The sequence below is a fragment of the Homo sapiens genome, chromosome 20, assembly GCF_000001405.40.
Source record: "Homo sapiens chromosome 20, GRCh38.p14 Primary Assembly".
Lineage (NCBI taxonomy): Eukaryota > Metazoa > Chordata > Mammalia > Primates > Hominidae > Homo > Homo sapiens.
The window spans coordinates 53,413,812-53,430,088 of record NC_000020.11 but is presented as its reverse complement, the minus strand read 5'-3'; the positions used below and the strand labels follow the sequence as shown (position 1 = coordinate 53,430,088).

General features: G+C 43.8%; 1 protein-coding gene and 1 pseudogene across 10 annotated transcripts in view; both read right to left on the bottom strand.

Annotated features, from left to right (window-relative positions):
• Positions 1–16,277, bottom strand: part of TSHZ2 (teashirt zinc finger homeobox 2) — a 522,973-nt gene that overhangs the window by 65,242 nt on the left and 441,454 nt on the right. The gene's annotated exons all lie outside the window — the stretch shown is intronic.
• Positions 8,411–8,897, bottom strand: PPIAP10 (peptidylprolyl isomerase A pseudogene 10; annotated as a pseudogene).

Sequence of the window (16,277 nt, the reverse complement as noted above, 5' to 3'; positions counted from 1 at the left end):
TCCAATAATGTCTATAGAATCATAGATATATAGTAGGGTTTTTCAATTGGGAGTGATTTTGTCCCTCAGAGAACATTTGGAAGTATCTGGAGATATTTTAGCTGTCCCACCTGGCCTGGTGAGAGTCCTGGCATCCAGCAGATGAGGACCAAGGATACTGCTACATCCTGCAATGTGTGGGACTGCCCACCCCAGAGAATTATTCAACTCACAACGTCAGTAGTGCCAGACCTGAGAAACCCTGACACCCTGACACACACACACACAATTGAATATGCTTTAAAATAAATACATAACCATAGAAAAGCTCACCCAAGTACCATCTAAACCACTCTGTGTACCTTCAGGGTCAAGGGTATCAAGTGCCAGGAATCCCCTAATAGAATTTTTTGATTCTCCTGACAAGAGATGTGTATTAGTCTGTTTTCACGCTACTAATGAAGACATACCTGAGACTGGGCAATTTACAAAAGAAAGAGGTTTAATGAACTTAACAGTTCCACTTGGCTGAGGAGGCCTCACAATCATGGCAAAAGGTGAAAGGCATGTCTCACATGGTGGCAGACAAGAGAAAAGCACTTGTGCAGGGAAACTCCCGTTTTTAAAACCATCAGGTCTCGTGAGACTTATTCACTATCACGAGAACAGCACGGGAAAGACCCGCCCCCATGATTCGATTACCTCCCACTGGGTTCCCCCCACAACACGTGGGAATTCAGGGTGAGATGTGGGTGGGGACACAGCCAAACCATATCAAGAGATTTCTCTATTTCTCTGGTAAGGAATTTATCATCTTCATAAATGGAGCTGGGGTTAGGATCACAATGTCCCTTTTGTTTTGGCACTATTGACACTGTGGGCTGCATAATTCTCTGTGGTGGAGGTTGCTCTGTGTTCCCTTATCAAGTCCCGTAAAGGCAGATTTCCTCCTCTAAACCTCAGTGAAGTCAAATCGGAGGCAGTGGGTTATTTCTTGTATCACTTAGTTCTAAGAAAGAAATTTCTTCAGAAACAAAACCTATCTTTGGGAAGGAAACAATACTCATTTCTGAATAGCAGTAACTATAGCTGTGTTTACCTGTAGAATCATCTGATTTTCCAGAGACAAAAGCAAAAGGACTTTGAGATACAACCATCTACCTGGAGCAATGTGACCTCCACAGTATGGTCACCTAAAGCACAAGCCAGTGAAGGGAAACTGGCATTTCCTGATAGAGCAGAGATTCTCAACAGTTTCCCTCCCCTGACCTGCGATGCCTGTCATTCACATGCATGACATTTTTATGATTCCAGGAATGAGACGGCTCTGTGGGGGCATGATGTGGAAGAGGAGTATCAGTTAGGCCCGCCCAGGTCATGTGGAAAGTCAGCAAATTAGGAATTGCAGAAATGGAGTTAGAGAATTTGCATTTTCATAAATGGAGCCAGGGTTAGGATTACAATTTCCCATTTGTCTGTTCCATTCAGAAAATTAAAGTGTAATGCCAATGAGTTCATTGACCACCCTCATCCTTCAACAATGATTGGGAATAAGTTATCTGCAATTCATGACAATTGATTCAGAGTCTCAAGACCACACTTGGAAATTGTTTGTTCAGGGAATTCCTCAACCAGGAGTTCCCCAAACTGAAGCCACTTATACATCAAAGTGGGAAACTGTGATAAGGAAGACTGGATGGAGACAGAGCCAGAAAAGTGACTTAGAATTAGTGCCATGTTTTCTACAGAGAGCTATAATAATAATACACAGTGCCTTTCTTGGCACTTAAAGTACACAGTTAAGATTTCAGCACAATTGTTAAAGAAGGAGCTACACATCTCATTCACCAACGAGAAGACTGAGTTTGTGAAAGAGCTGCGGAGCAAATTCTCTAACTCCATTTCTGCATTTCCTAATTTGCTGACTTTCCACATGACCTGGGCCAGCCTAACAGATACTTCTCCTCCACATCATGCCCCCACAGAGACTTCTCATTCCTGGAATCAGTGCTGGAGAATGATTTGGACTGAGTCACTTAAAAATAGAGATGTTAGTTGGTGCAAGCTTTGTACAAAGCCTTTATCAGTAGAGTCCAGAGTGTGCCAAATCAGATAATTTGGATAAGTTAAAGGATTTCTGGAAGGCCACATGATCTCAGACCCATCTCGCCCATGTCCCCCTCCATGTTAGAGTCCTTAGTATTAATGTTTGAGAGACTTTTCTTAGTTGACCATCAATGCTGGGTGAGGGCTCTAGGCCTTCCATCCCTTTCTTAACATGCTTGAAGTTCTTGGAAGTCAGGATGCAGCTGGGATTCACTGGAGAAGACCATGGAAAGGCAGCAGTAAGTTGGGGGGCACATTGTATGAAGGACAAACATTCCCGGGAGGTGACCCTCTACTGCAGTGGATAGAGCTATTCACTTCAGACCCTCAAAATACATGGCTCTTATTCAAACTTAGCTATTTCTGTTCTCTATTTTGGATTCAGAAATCTGTGTCTTTGTGAGCCTCTTAGCTTCACATCCAACCACCCTGGGCTTGTTGCTTTCTCTAAAGTTGAAGAGAGGAAGCCAGGTGGAATTCCTTTTCTAGGTATACCTGCCTGCTCAAGTTAAAGATGAACTTCCACAGTTTTTTTCCCCCTACAGATTCTGGTGTTTAAGTCGACAGGGGTGGGTGGTGGGGGTGGGGATCTGGCATGCAACCCGGAAGGGTAGGAGAAACTGAAATCATACCTCGCGTCTCTCCACAAAGGTTTGATTCTCTTTATGAGTAGGATCCGCCAATCCGTAATCAAGGGTTAATTTCACAGCTCACTGCTTCATCTAGCATAATATCCATTCAGACTAATTAAATCTGTCTAATAATGTGAGTGTCTTTGTCTTTGTTCTTCCCCTTCTTTGTGCTACACCCTTCACATCTCATCTCCAGAACCACACGCCATCACACTCTACTTGACAAGCAGAATCCATCCCTAAAATTAAAACATTCCTGACCTATCTGCAATGACAAGGCAGGCGAGCTTCACGGCGCTCCAGCCCATGAAGGGAGCTGACACATTTGTTTTTAATTTCAAAAGAGTAGAAAGTGAAGATCTGACCCCGTCAATCAAGCCCTGTGACAAGTTTAATCATTGGTGCCCCACAAAAATCACGGCTAAATAGGAATGCAAATACTGTATCACAGGGCTCTTATAAATGCTAATCAAGGAGAAGTAATCAACTGACAATTTCACTGATCTCTTTTCTGAAGAAGTCACTCAATGCTCTGTCTCTGGGCCACAAAGAGAAGAGAAAAAGACAAAAGGGATGTATGAGCTTCCCCTCCACCTTCCTTTTATTTTTCCTTCCAGGACATTTCTTTCTAAAGAGAGAATTCTCTCTTTTGATCCATCATTGAACTTTAAAGCAAAGAACTTACGCAGTTATATGTCAAGTATACTTTATTAGCAGTACCCAGGCTGGGCAGAAAACGCGCTGAAACTTCCGCTAAAATAAAAATCATCATTTATCTTTGTCATTAATCTGTTCTCAAATTCTCTTATATCTTAAAAGTGACTGACCTTCTCTGTTAAGAGGGGGAGGGAAAAAAAGTTTGATAAGTAGTCAAAAATCTGAAAATTGTGATCACCGTAACTTAAAAAAAGAAGAAGAGGAAGAAGAAAATTCCCTGTAAAAACATAAGCCATAGTTGATAAAGAATTTATAACCACCAAGAAGTTCTGAGCCAAGGGTCTCCCCCAGTCACCTTCTCCAATGGTTGACTGCTTAGGGAGAGAGGACAGAAATTAGAGGCCTATTTTTCATGTTCAATTTTACACAGGACCTGAGGGCTTTGTATTTCCAAAGCTTACAACTTGAGGACTTTCCTCTTTCTTCTTCTCCATTTTATTTTTTAACCAGGAAGTCCTGAAGCAATCAAAATCATTGGTTACTTCCTACCGTAAACAACCCTTTCATGAAGTCATAGCAGGAAAAGAAAAAAAGCCAGCACTCAGTTACTCGGAGTTTGTCCTCCCCTGTTTATCCTGGGCTAGGTAAACAGAACATTCCAGAAGTTCAGATATTGGTAGATTAATTCCTATAGTGGTAACTGAACTGAGTTCCCAATATCGAGGGTAATTTCTTTCATCTTAAGGATAGAAAAGTGGGAATTTATGGGTTTTTTTGGAGACAGCAGGAATTCCCTTTTTTGTCATGTTCTATGTAAGGGAGGGATGGACCAAATTCAGCCTGCTACCTGTTTCTGTATGACCCAGGTGTTAAGAATAATGTTTATATTTTTAGATGGTGAGAAAAAAAAAAACAAAAGAACGTTTTATGACATAAACACTACCTGCAATTCAAATTTCAGTGTTCACAAATAAAGTTTTATTGGAACATGGCCTGGCCTATTATTATATTGTCTGTGGCTGTTTTCATGCTATAATGGCAGAGCTCAATAGTTGCAATGGAGGTTGCATCACCTGCAAGACCTGAAATGTTTACCATCTGGCTCTTTAGAGAACAAGTTTGCCTACCTCTGTTTTATATCATCACGGAGAGCTTGCTAGAACTTGGCTGTGCCTCAATTTTCCCAGACATGGAAATTCTCAATATACACCCGTGAAGACGCATCAAATTTTTCAGATGTAAATTTTTAGTTTACTGGAGAAGGATGGGCTTCCTTGCAGGGAAATGAGCACCTGACTCTGATGCTGGACCTTGGACCCTCTCATGCTTTTGTGGACTCTTCTGCTGTCCAGTGTCTGAGGGCTGGAAGTCCCTCTGAGTGAATAGCTTTGTTTCAAATTAAGATCTAATTCATTTTGGAATGATAATGAGGTTCCAAAACCAGAACATGGACAACAAGAAAGGGAACACTGCACTATATTTCTGCTCTGCTATGTAGTCTCTGGAACCCAAGTGAGAGAAGTGAGAACTCACATGCAGGGATAGAAAGAGGGTGGTCCATTTTGGAAGATAGTGTGGTGGTTCCTCAAAGATTTAGAACCAGAAATACCATTTGACCCAGAAATCCCATTACCAGTTATATACCCAAAGGAATAGAAATCATTCTATTATAAAGATACATGCACACATATGTTCATTGCAGCACTATGCACAATAGCAAAGACATGGAGTCAACCCAAATGCCCATCAATGATAGACTGGATAAAGAAAATGTGGTATATATACACCATGGAATACTATGCAGCTATAAAAAGGAATGAGATCATGTCCTTTCCAGGGACATGGATGGAGCTGGAAGCCATTATCCTCAGCAAACTAATACAGAAGCAGAAAACCAAACACTGTTCTCACTTGTAAGTGGCAGTGGAACAATGAGAGCACATGGACATATGGGTGGAAGGGGAACAACAGACACTGGAGCCTGCCTGGCTGGGAGAGGAAGAGCATCAGGAAAAATAGCTAATGCACGCCGGGCTTAATACCTAGGTGATGGGTTGACAGGTGCAGGAAACCACCATGGCACACGTTTATCTATTTAACAGACCTGCACATCTTGCACATGTACCCCAGAAATTAAAAAAATTTAAAAAAAAAAGAGGTTGGTCAATATTTCTTCCTGCCATATGTGCCCAGGTATGAAACATTATATATATACATGGCTACATATGTAAGTGCATGTGTGTATACTTAAACAGACATATCTACTTTTTAAAAACACATGCAAATAATGGTCATCCGGGATATTCTCTTAATATTTTTCAGGGCTGTTTTGTTATTCTCATTTCATAGCTCATTTCCTTAAATTAGGAAAATGATTCTCAAACGGGAATGACTTGCCCCCCAGGGGAAAGAGGAGCGAGTGCTGGGAACATTTGGCAATATCTGGAGACATTTTTGGTTGTCACGATTTGAGAGGAGGTGCTACTGGCATCCAATGGGTAGAAACTAGGGATGCTGCAAACATCCTACACATAACCTACAAATATCCTACAGGACAGCTGCCATAACAGAATTATCTGACTGCAAATGTCAGTACTGCTGAGAAACCCTCAGTTAGGGAAGCAAAACAGTGCAAGTTCATCGACTTTGATGTCAGATAAATCTGGTTTAAACCAAAGGATTCTCAACTTTGGCACTATTGACATTTGGGCTGGATGATTCCTTGCAGCGGGGCTGGGCTGTCCTGCGCGTCGTCGGGGTGTTTAGCTGCATCCCTGGACTCTAGTCTGTAGGCGCTAACAGCACCACCCCCTGGGCGTGACAACTAAACATGTCTCCAGACCTTGCAAATATCCCCCGAAACTCACCTGCTTTGAGAACCATTGGTTTAAACTATGAGTTGATTACTTGACAGTGTGGTCATTTTGGACCAGTTGTTGACTATCCTGAAGCATCAGTTGCCTCGCCAGTCAAACAGAGGGGGAACCAATGCATTTTTCAGTAACGCTGCATGGGCGGAATGAGGTGACATGTGCAAGTTCTCAGCACAGTTTCCAGCACATATTGACTTTGGGAGATTGTCTTAAACAAAGCAGTTGGCAAAGTCTAGAGAAAACTCTGGGTGAAGGAAAGGGAATAGAGTTTGTTGAGGCCCTACCCTGGGCTAAATGGGCACTCTTGCCTAGAGTTGCAGAGAGAGCAGATAAGGAAGTTGAGTTTCAGAAAAAATATGTGATCCATGCAAGGTATCTTGCCTCAGAAGTGCTCAGGCTGAAATTCAAGCACACCAAGGTTCAAATATCATAGCCTTTTTTGTTTGTTTGTTTTTTTTGAGATGGAACCTTGCTCTGTCACCCAGGCTGGAGTGCAGTGGCATGATCTCAGCTCACTACAACCTCTGCTTCCTGGGCTCAAGTGATTCTCCTGCCTCAGCCTTCCTGAAAGCCAACACCATACATGGCTAATTTTCATATTTTTTAGTAGAGACGGGGTTTTGCCATGTTGGCCAGGCTGTTCTCAAACTCCTGACCTCAAGATATCCGCCTGCCTTAGCCTCCCAAAGTGCTGGGATTACAGCCATAAGCCACGGCGCCCAACCCAAATATCATATACCTTTTACCAGGAGACAGTGTAGGTGTTGGGTTTCTCATCTGGCTAGACGCCTTTCTTTGTGATTTTTTGGGCAAATTACTGCAACTTTGTAGATCTCTGTTTTCTCATCTATAAAATGGGGACTAAGAACGCATTGAGGAGTTAAGTAGGTAATGCCCTTAATAGCAGCTTCTCAAACCAGGAAATCAAATTACTACTGTTAAGTATAGATATTATTATTATTTGCATTCTATGTTCTTAACACTGCATCATGTTGCTCGTGAAGTCCTGACTGTATATTGAAGGAGATCAGTGTATCCAGGGGTGATTAGAATAAGTATATTTTATGTGTGAATAAATAAGGTTTTGTTCTCTCCCCTCCTCCCAGCATTGCTTCCTATTTTTTTGGACTCGAGATTGTAATGAGAAAAGCCCAGCCTTTGAAAAGCAATCCTGTGCAGGTGGTAATGAGAGGCCTGGCCGGCGGGTGTGTTTGTGGTGCTGGAAGTCAATTTAATCTAACTCAAAGGCTGATTAAGGTTGGGGTGTTGTATGTGGGTGTATGTTTGAAATTGCATCTGAGGGGGGTGGTTCTGAGATTTTTTTCAACTCTCTTCTTCTTGAGAAGGTGTTGAGAACGTATAAATTGCTGTGAGTTTTTCCTTTCGTCTCGTCTATAATAGCAACCACCACTCCTTTCCCTTAAAACCACATGGATCTGATAAGAATCATCTTAGTGCCCTCCTAATGCAGGTGAGACCAACAGCTGAAATCTCACAAGTGACAAGAGGAGGAGTTTGGGGTAGGAGTGGTCCTTAACCGTTCATTTCCAAGAACTGTCCACTGGAAAGTTTGGGTCACTGAATTCAAGGGAAGGGTCAGCATGCACACACTTTAATCTTCCCTGGCAGACATTGGCTTGCTTTGTGGATATGACCTTTTTTTCGTTATTTAGTTATTATTTCATAATCATAACCTTAACTCGGCAGTCCAGCTAGCCATAGACAGGAATAAAGAAAATACGAAACCCAACGAACTGCATTAAGAGCACAATATGATACGGTACTGTGAGAAATGGGGTGGCGGGGTGCTCTCCTGAGCTACAGAAGCAGTGGTCTGCTGGTTAAGATAAAACATAAGATAGGCCGGGTGCGGTGGCTCATGCCTGTAATCCCAGCACTTTGGGAGGCCGAGGCGGGTGGATCACAAGGTCAGGAGATCGAGACCATCCTGGCTAACATGGTGAAACCCTGTCTCTACTAAAAATACAAAAATTCGCCGGGCATGGTGGCGGGCGCCTGTAGTCCCAGCTACTCGGGAGGCTGAGACAGGAGAATGGCGTGAACCTGGGAGGCGGAGCTTGCAGTGAGCCAAGATCGCGCCACTGCACTCCAGCCTGGGCGACAGAGCTCCGTCTCAAAAAAAAAAAAAAAAAAAAAAAACCAAAAACATAAGATAAACTCATTAGAGTGGTCCACAGTCGGCAATGGCAATCTTCTTGCTGGTCTTGCCATTCCTGGCCCAAAGCTCTCCCTGGCTTCTGTGATATTGATTCATGCCCTCTTGCACCTTGCCAAACATCACACGCTTGCCATCCAGCCACTCGATTTTGGCAGTGCAGATGAAAAACTGGGAACCATTTGTGTTGAGTCCAGCAAGATGCCAGGACCTGCATGTTTCAGAATGAAGTTCTCATCATCCAATTTCTCCCTGTAGATGGGCTTACCACCACTGCCGTTAAGTCGTGTGAAGTCACCACTCAGGTACATAATGGAATAATTCTGCAAAGGCAGGAGCACTTTCTCTCCAGTGCTCAGACCATGAAAGTTTTCTGATGTCTTTGGAACTTTGTCTGCAAATAGCTCGAAGGAGACATGGCCTAAAGGCTCGCCATCTGCGGTGATATTGAACATGGTAGGGCTGACCGTGGCTGTGGCCATGACTTTTTAGATGGAGTCAGTGAGTCTTATTCTCTGCTCCATCTCCAGCCAAATCTAGCTCAGTGTCTCTCATTTAGTAAGAGGCTGCTCAGTGAGCGTTTGCTGAATGACCCAATGCGGGACAGAGAATCAAGAAACTGTATTAGGGAAAGGGTCCTGAGTTTATGCCAAAGTTTCCCAGATTGGTTTCCATTGAAACGTAGCTCTGTGAGATACCATCAGGTGTTATGTGAAGAAATGTCTGTGTAGTCAAATATGTTTGAGTGAGTGAGCCTGAGCTGAGCAAGACTTTACTGCAAGACTTCCCATCTTCTGTCCCTTTTTATGCTAATGGGTAACACAAACTCCAAAAGTGGGGTGTACAGCATGAGGCATTAACAAAAATTTATTGGACCCCACACACTTTTTCTTTTTTGTTTTTGAGACAGAGTCTTGCTCTGTCGCCCAGGCTAGAGTGCAGTGGCACAATCTCGGCTCACTGCAAGCTCTGCCTCCTGGGTTCACGCCATTCTCCTGCCTCAGCCTCCCACTCTCCTGCCTCAGGACTACTACTCCCAGTAGTCCCAAGTAGCTGGGACTACAGGCGCCCGCCACTAAGCCCGGCTAATTTTTTGTATTTTTAGTAGAGATGGGGTTTCACCGTGTTAGCCAGGATGGTCTCGATCTCCTGGCCTCGTGATCTGCCCGCTTTGGCCTCATGTGCTGGGATTACAGGCGTGAGCCACCGCGCCTGGCCCACTTTTTTTCAATGAATGTCTTATGAGCTTGGTGTTCCAGGAATGAAATTTGTGAAACTTTTCTCTAACAATCCAAATTCACCTCTGGGTCATTGATTGCTTTTGCTGTTTTCCTCTGTCTGGAATGTCCTTTCCTAGATATCTGCATGCCCGGCTGACACACCTTTTCCGCCTTCTCTGAGACGCCTTCCCTGACCACTCTGTTTTGAACTGAGCATCCTCCCTGTACCTGGCCTTCCCTGTTTTCCCACCCTGCCACCATAGGCATTTGATTCTTTCTGTGTTCTAAACATATTATCTATTTTACTTTCTGGACTCTTTCCTTCCAGTGTGAACACCAGGAGTGCAGCATTTACGTCCATCTGTAGACTTCTGTATAGAGCAGTGCCTGGCACTTAGTGGACATTTAGTGAAGGTTAGTTGAACAGTGAATGACTAAATTTCTGAATTCCTGCTTTATATACGGTGCAGAGAGACAGAGAGGGGCTAAGTGACAGATGGTCCTTGCATAATTATGTCAGCTGCCTGGCTCAGCAGGACGTATTAGGAGATCGGCAGCGTGGTGTCATGCAGGCCCTGGGACACTGTACATCAATAGGTGACATCAGTGTCCCTTAACAGAATGAGCTGCCCCTTCTGCCCCAGCAAGGTGGCCACAGATCTCTCACATGTCCCGTGTTTGTCAGGAGTGAGGGTGGTTAGAGTAGTGCCACTTGTTGACTCTGATTCTCCCAGTGGTCATAGCTATAATGCAATGAAGACTATTTGTTATTGACTGCCCGCTGTGGAAGGGGCCTGTGGTTAAGACCTCCTGCTCTGGAGTCTAATAAACCTCAGTTCAAATATTGGCTTTGCTCTTTATAGAGTGGGCAAACTTAGGCATGGTGTTTAATGTCTATACCTCACCTTTCTTACCTGTAAAATGGAGCTAGTGATAATGGACCCTCCACTTAGGGCTGTTGTGAGCATGAGATATTTGTGTAAAGAGTTTAGCACAGTGTCTAACCCATAGCAGAAACTCACTGCATGATGGCATTATTATTATTATTAACACATACCTTATCTCTCATCCTCATAGCAACCCTCCAAAGGAGATCCTTCCATTTTGAAGATAAAAAGATGAAAGTCCAAAGAGTGTAAGTGGCTTCCCCAACGTCTGGCTGTTAGTAAAAGTAGCCCAGATGTGAGCTAATGTCTGCAGGACCCTAGTGAGTGAGAAGGGTCTGAGTGACACCTGCCATGTGTCTGAGGCGGTTTGACGGGGAGCCCGAGTCACAAGTAGAACAAAACAACCTGGTCCACAAAGCGGCTTAATGCTGAGACAGTTGCTTTTTTCCTCTTAGATCTAACAATTAGCGCCAACTTCCCGATGGATCTAGCTTTTCCTCATGTTGTTAATTCACCCAACAAGAGCTGCTTCATTGCACAGGATGGCTTGAACTTTGAAAGACAGACAGGAGCTGAGTGGAGGAGGCTGGAGGAGAGAGAGGGATGAACCCGGATGTTTACATTTTGGCTTTAGAGGAGTTAGTCAGAGGGTCTCCCCCACCCAAACACCATCCTAGCTATGATCACACCTGTCTGGGTGGCCTGCCTTAGTGTTAGGCCTTTGGCGGCCTGGACTGAGCTGGGAGCGAGTGGGGAGGAGAGTACTTCAGGTTCAGGTTGATCTTATTGAGAACCTGGGAGTCTCTAACTTTTGGCATGGACTCTTCTCATTTAGGAAATCCCTATTGATACGGTTTGACTCTGTGTCCCCACCTAAATCTCATCTTGAATTCCTACATGTTGTGGGAAGGACCTGGGGGGTGGTAATTGGATCATGGGGGCAGGTCTTTCCTGTGCTGTTGTCGTGTTAGTGAATAGGTCTCACGAGATCTGATGGTTATAAGAAGGGGAGTTTCCTCGCACAAGCTCTCTTCTCGTCTGTCGCCATGTGAGACGTGCCTTTCACTGTCTGCCATGATTGTGAGGTGTCACCAGCCATGTGAAACTGGAAGTCCAATAAATCTCTCTTTCTTTTGTAAGTTGCCCAGCCTCGGGTATATCCTTATCGGCAGTGTGAAAACAGACTAATACGCCTATGACATCCTCAGGCTGCATCAGGCTAATCAAGAGGGCTGTTTTTTGAAGCTGCTCAGAGAATCCAGGACCACGTAGAGGCTTCTTTCCTTCCCATCAGAAAAAAGGGAACCTTGGGAAGTAGTAGGATCCCACACCCATTTTAGATGGAAAACCTGGAATGGGGAACACATGGAAAGCAGATATTTCTCCCCTTTACTCTCTCAGCAGGCTGTTTTGAATCATATAGACCTCTGCTTAAATATTCCCTCCATAGCAAGACCTTTCCTTACCATCCTAGCTAAGGGTCCCCTCCAACCTCAGCCACAGCCACTCTTATGGCGTCAAACACTCATTAATAAGTGCTATTATCTTGTTTTGTTTATTTGATGATTTGCTCCTTTTACTAGAATGTAGCTCTGTGAGCTCAGAGCCCTGCTCACTCTTGTTCCTTGCTGTGTCTCTAGCACTCAAAGCAGGACCAGCTGAGGAGGTCCTCAGTGTTTGCTGAATGAGTGATTACTTTTATTATGTATTCTCCAGATTTCTTTGTAAAGAGACTGCCATAGAAGGAGGATTATTATGGCAAGCATCTATACCAGCTCATCCCTATTTTTTAGTTTTTGTTGAAGATAGGATAAGAAAAAAAAGAGAAGCAAATGCAGCAAGCAGGAATTAGGTTAGACATCAGAAATTTTCTGATAGGCTGAGTTGAGTGATTAGAATAGGTTATGAAGGGAGGCTGTGCAAATTCCTATCACGTTATTCTAAAAAATGATGCTGGTGAACAGCCGGGTGCAGTGGTTCATGCCTGTAATCCCAGCACATTGGGAGGCCAAGGCCGGCAGATTACCTGAGGTCAGGAGGTGGAGACCAGTCTGGCCAACATAGTGAAACCCTGTCTCTACTAAAAATACAAAAATTAGCCGGGAGTGATGGTATGCACCTGTATTCTCAGCTACCTGGGAGGCTGCGGCAGGAGAATCGCTTGAACCTGGGAGGCAGAGGTTGCAGTAAGCCAAGATTGTGCCACTGCACTCCAGCCTGGGTGACAGAGCGAGACCCCTTCTCAAAACAAAACAAACAAATAAAAAAAAAAAACTATGGTGTGTGTGTGTGTGTGTGTGTGTGTGTGTGTGTGTGTCTGTGTGTGTCTGTGTCTGTATATAGATATCCTCAGGGATGTTTGCAAGATGGTGCTTAGTTCTTACCTACAGTTTCTCTCTCTAGAGTCATGGTTTTCTACTGGAAGGAGTCTTTGGCTCCTAGGAGACAGCTTTGAGAGTCATGCAGGGGAGGAGGGAGGGTGCAGGCCAGCACTGCTGCTCAGCATTCTACAATGCACAGGACAGCCTCCCACAAGAGAACAAGTCTGCCTACAATGTCAGTAGTGCCAAGGTTGAGAAAACATTTTCTATTCCAAAACTTTTAGTCTTCTGTCTTCAGGGGCTCCCCTGAGATCAGCCTTTTTCAAGAATTAATTCTCCAAAGGATTGAACCAAATGGGAGAATGAATGACTTGGGAAAAAAGAGGTTCACATTTGGGGATGCAATCCAAGGGGTGTGCCAGTCAAAACAGAATCAATGGATTATTTCTCTATGTGACGAAAAGAAGTCCTGTTGTTATGATTTGCATTTACACACTAAGTAAATATTTGTGGGACATCTACTATGTTCTCAGCATGATGGGAGATCATGGGGTTGGCAGTTTCTTAAAAGGTCAAATGGTAAACATTTTTGGATCTGCAGGCCATAGGGTTTCTGTAACAGGTACTCAACTAAGCCATTGCAGAGTTAAGGCAGCAATATGTAAACGATGGGTGTGACTGTGCCCTGAAACTTTATAGCAGGTGCTGGGTAGGATTTAGCCCACTGGTCCTGGCATGCTGATACCCTTTTTCCTGGTAGAGGCTACAGAGATTAGAAAGGGCGAAGAACTAGCTCTCAAGCTCACAGCCCTGTGGGAAAACTAACAAGTGAATAGAGCCCGACTACTGTCTGAAGGAATGACGCAGGGTGAGCAGACTTTCGGATATTGCTATTATTTCCAGTGCCTCTGGTATCAGCACGTGCTCTTTCCATATTTGGATCTCTGTTGCTCCACTTCCCACCGCCTTCATCCTGATGACCGCTAAGACCTGTACCTAACACCCAAATCGCCCTCTGGGGTCTGTGTTCTGCCCACTGTGAGCCTTTCTCTCTCATCTCCCTCTAATCCTTGCTGTAGTTGCCCAGCATGGCAGTGGCCTCACATGGCCTCTCTGCCTCCACTCGTCTCCACCACCCACCTGCCCTTCACGTGGGTGCCAGAGCAACCCTCCTAAATTGCAGAGCTGACTGCGTTAGTCCCCACTGAAACCCTTCTTTTCTAGCTCCATGACCCTCCTGACAGTTACCGGATTCACCAGGATGTACATATACACACATCTATACACAGGCATTATTTAGCTTTTGTTTCAAAATGTCAATATAAAGAAAAGGGGGAAATAACAGTACATTAAATATTACCTTCTTAAATCTAGACTTCCTCTTACGTCTCCTAACACTGTCATGCCTGTGTGTGCGTGTGTGTGTGTGTGTGTGTGTATATCTACACACACACATACATTTATAGTACACAAGCATGCATGTGTGCATACACATATATACACACAGGCACACACATATATAATATGTATATACACACATATAATATGTATATACACACATACATCACGTTTTACTATAATAAACTTTCTTTTTGTTTACTATTTATATTATGGGGTTAGGATATTATACAGATTTGGGGGCAGCTGCATAGGCAAGTACAGGTAGGTAAATTATCTGTAATAGTTTTAGGATAGTAAGAGTGTGCTAGGTGGGAGGCCTGTAGAGTAGGAGGCTGTGTGTGTGGGGTGCATGGGGTGCCTGGAGGAAGAGGAAGAAGGGGTGGGGAGCAGAGGAAGGAGCAGAGACTGTAGGGGGCAATGAGGGGCCTGGGGCCCCAGTGGAGAGCAGAGCGATAGGAGCTACAGTGCCTGCTTCTCTGGAATCATCTGTACTGATCATTTTATCATTGCATATTTAATTTTTTTCTCCCACTGGCATTTCTTAAGACATTCATTAGACTACAAAGATGAATCTTAGACAATAGCCAACCTGGCATTTTGCTGATTTTTAATGTGTTGATTGTGTAAGTTTTCAACAGAAGCCTTAAGGGTTTTCAATAATGGAGTATGTTAAAGGCAAATGAAAGAGAGAGGGGAAAGATATTTTCTTTTCTAGGTGTTGTCTTCTTAATTTGCATAAATGACAATAGTGACTATCTTGATTCGCTGCCACCTTTGTAAAGCTCGCAGTTAGAAATCAGCCACCGTGTATAATAATAACCCCTATTTATATATGACAGGCCCTGTCCTCAGCATTTTACAAACATTATCTCAATCAATCCTCTAAAAACCCTGAAGAAGCTGTTCTTGTCCATCTGAAAAAAGAATGAGGTGCAGACAGTGACATGGCTTATCTTAGGTCACGTGGCTGGAAGGCGGCAGACCCAGGTCTGCCCACTCAGGAGCCTGGTCACTCTGGTCACTTCACCAAGCTCAGCAGCTTTATTAACAAGAAAATCAGCAAGATTCACATGGAAATGTGCTTGCGTGAGCCCTTGGTTTAAGTCTAGTGCTATTAAACCACTGAGAATAGTCCTGGCTTGTTCTTTTCATTTTTTAATTAAATAAAATTTTTTTTAAGAGATAGGGTCTTGCTCTATTGCCCAGGCTGAAGTGCAGTGGTATGATCTTAGCTCCTGGCAGGCTGCTGGCAAAAGAGTCATGCCATCCATGCCTGTAGCCTTGAACTCCTGGGCTCAAGTGATCCTCCTACCTCAGCCTCTTGAGTAGCTGGAACTACATGTGTGTGCCACCACGCCTGGCTAATCCTTTTATTTTTTGGTAGAGATGGGGTCTGGCTATATTGTCTAGGCTGGTCTCAAACTCCTGGGCTCAAGCAATCCTTCTGCGTTGGCCTCCCAAAGTGCTGGGATTACAGGTGTGAGCCACTATGTTGAGCCAGTACTGGCTTATTCTTTTAAATAAAAGTTTTCCTGGGAAAAAACAGTACAAGAACTTAGTAAAAAGTCAAACACTACAAAAATATAAAGTACCCCTGTAACCCGAGGGCTCATTTCTGATCTTTCCAGAAATGTTCTCTACATAAACATGAGTGTGTGTATATGTATATATTATTCTTTTTAAATTTTTTAAATTTTATTTCTATTTTTATTTTTTGAGATAAGGTCTTGCTCTGTCACCCAGGCTGAAGTGCAGTGGCATGATCTTGGCTCACTGCAGCCTTGACCTCTCAGGCTCAAGTCCAAATAGCTGGGACTACAGGCATGTGCCACTATGCTCAGCTAATTTTGTAGTTTTAGTAGAGATGGGGTTTTGCCATGTTGCCCAGGCTGGTCTCCAACTCTTGGACTCAAGTGATCCTCCTGCCTTGGCCTCCCAAAGTACTGGGATTACTGGCTATATTAATATTATTTTTAAGAACTTTTTTGGATATAATGTAGATATTATTTTTAACACAAAGGTGAA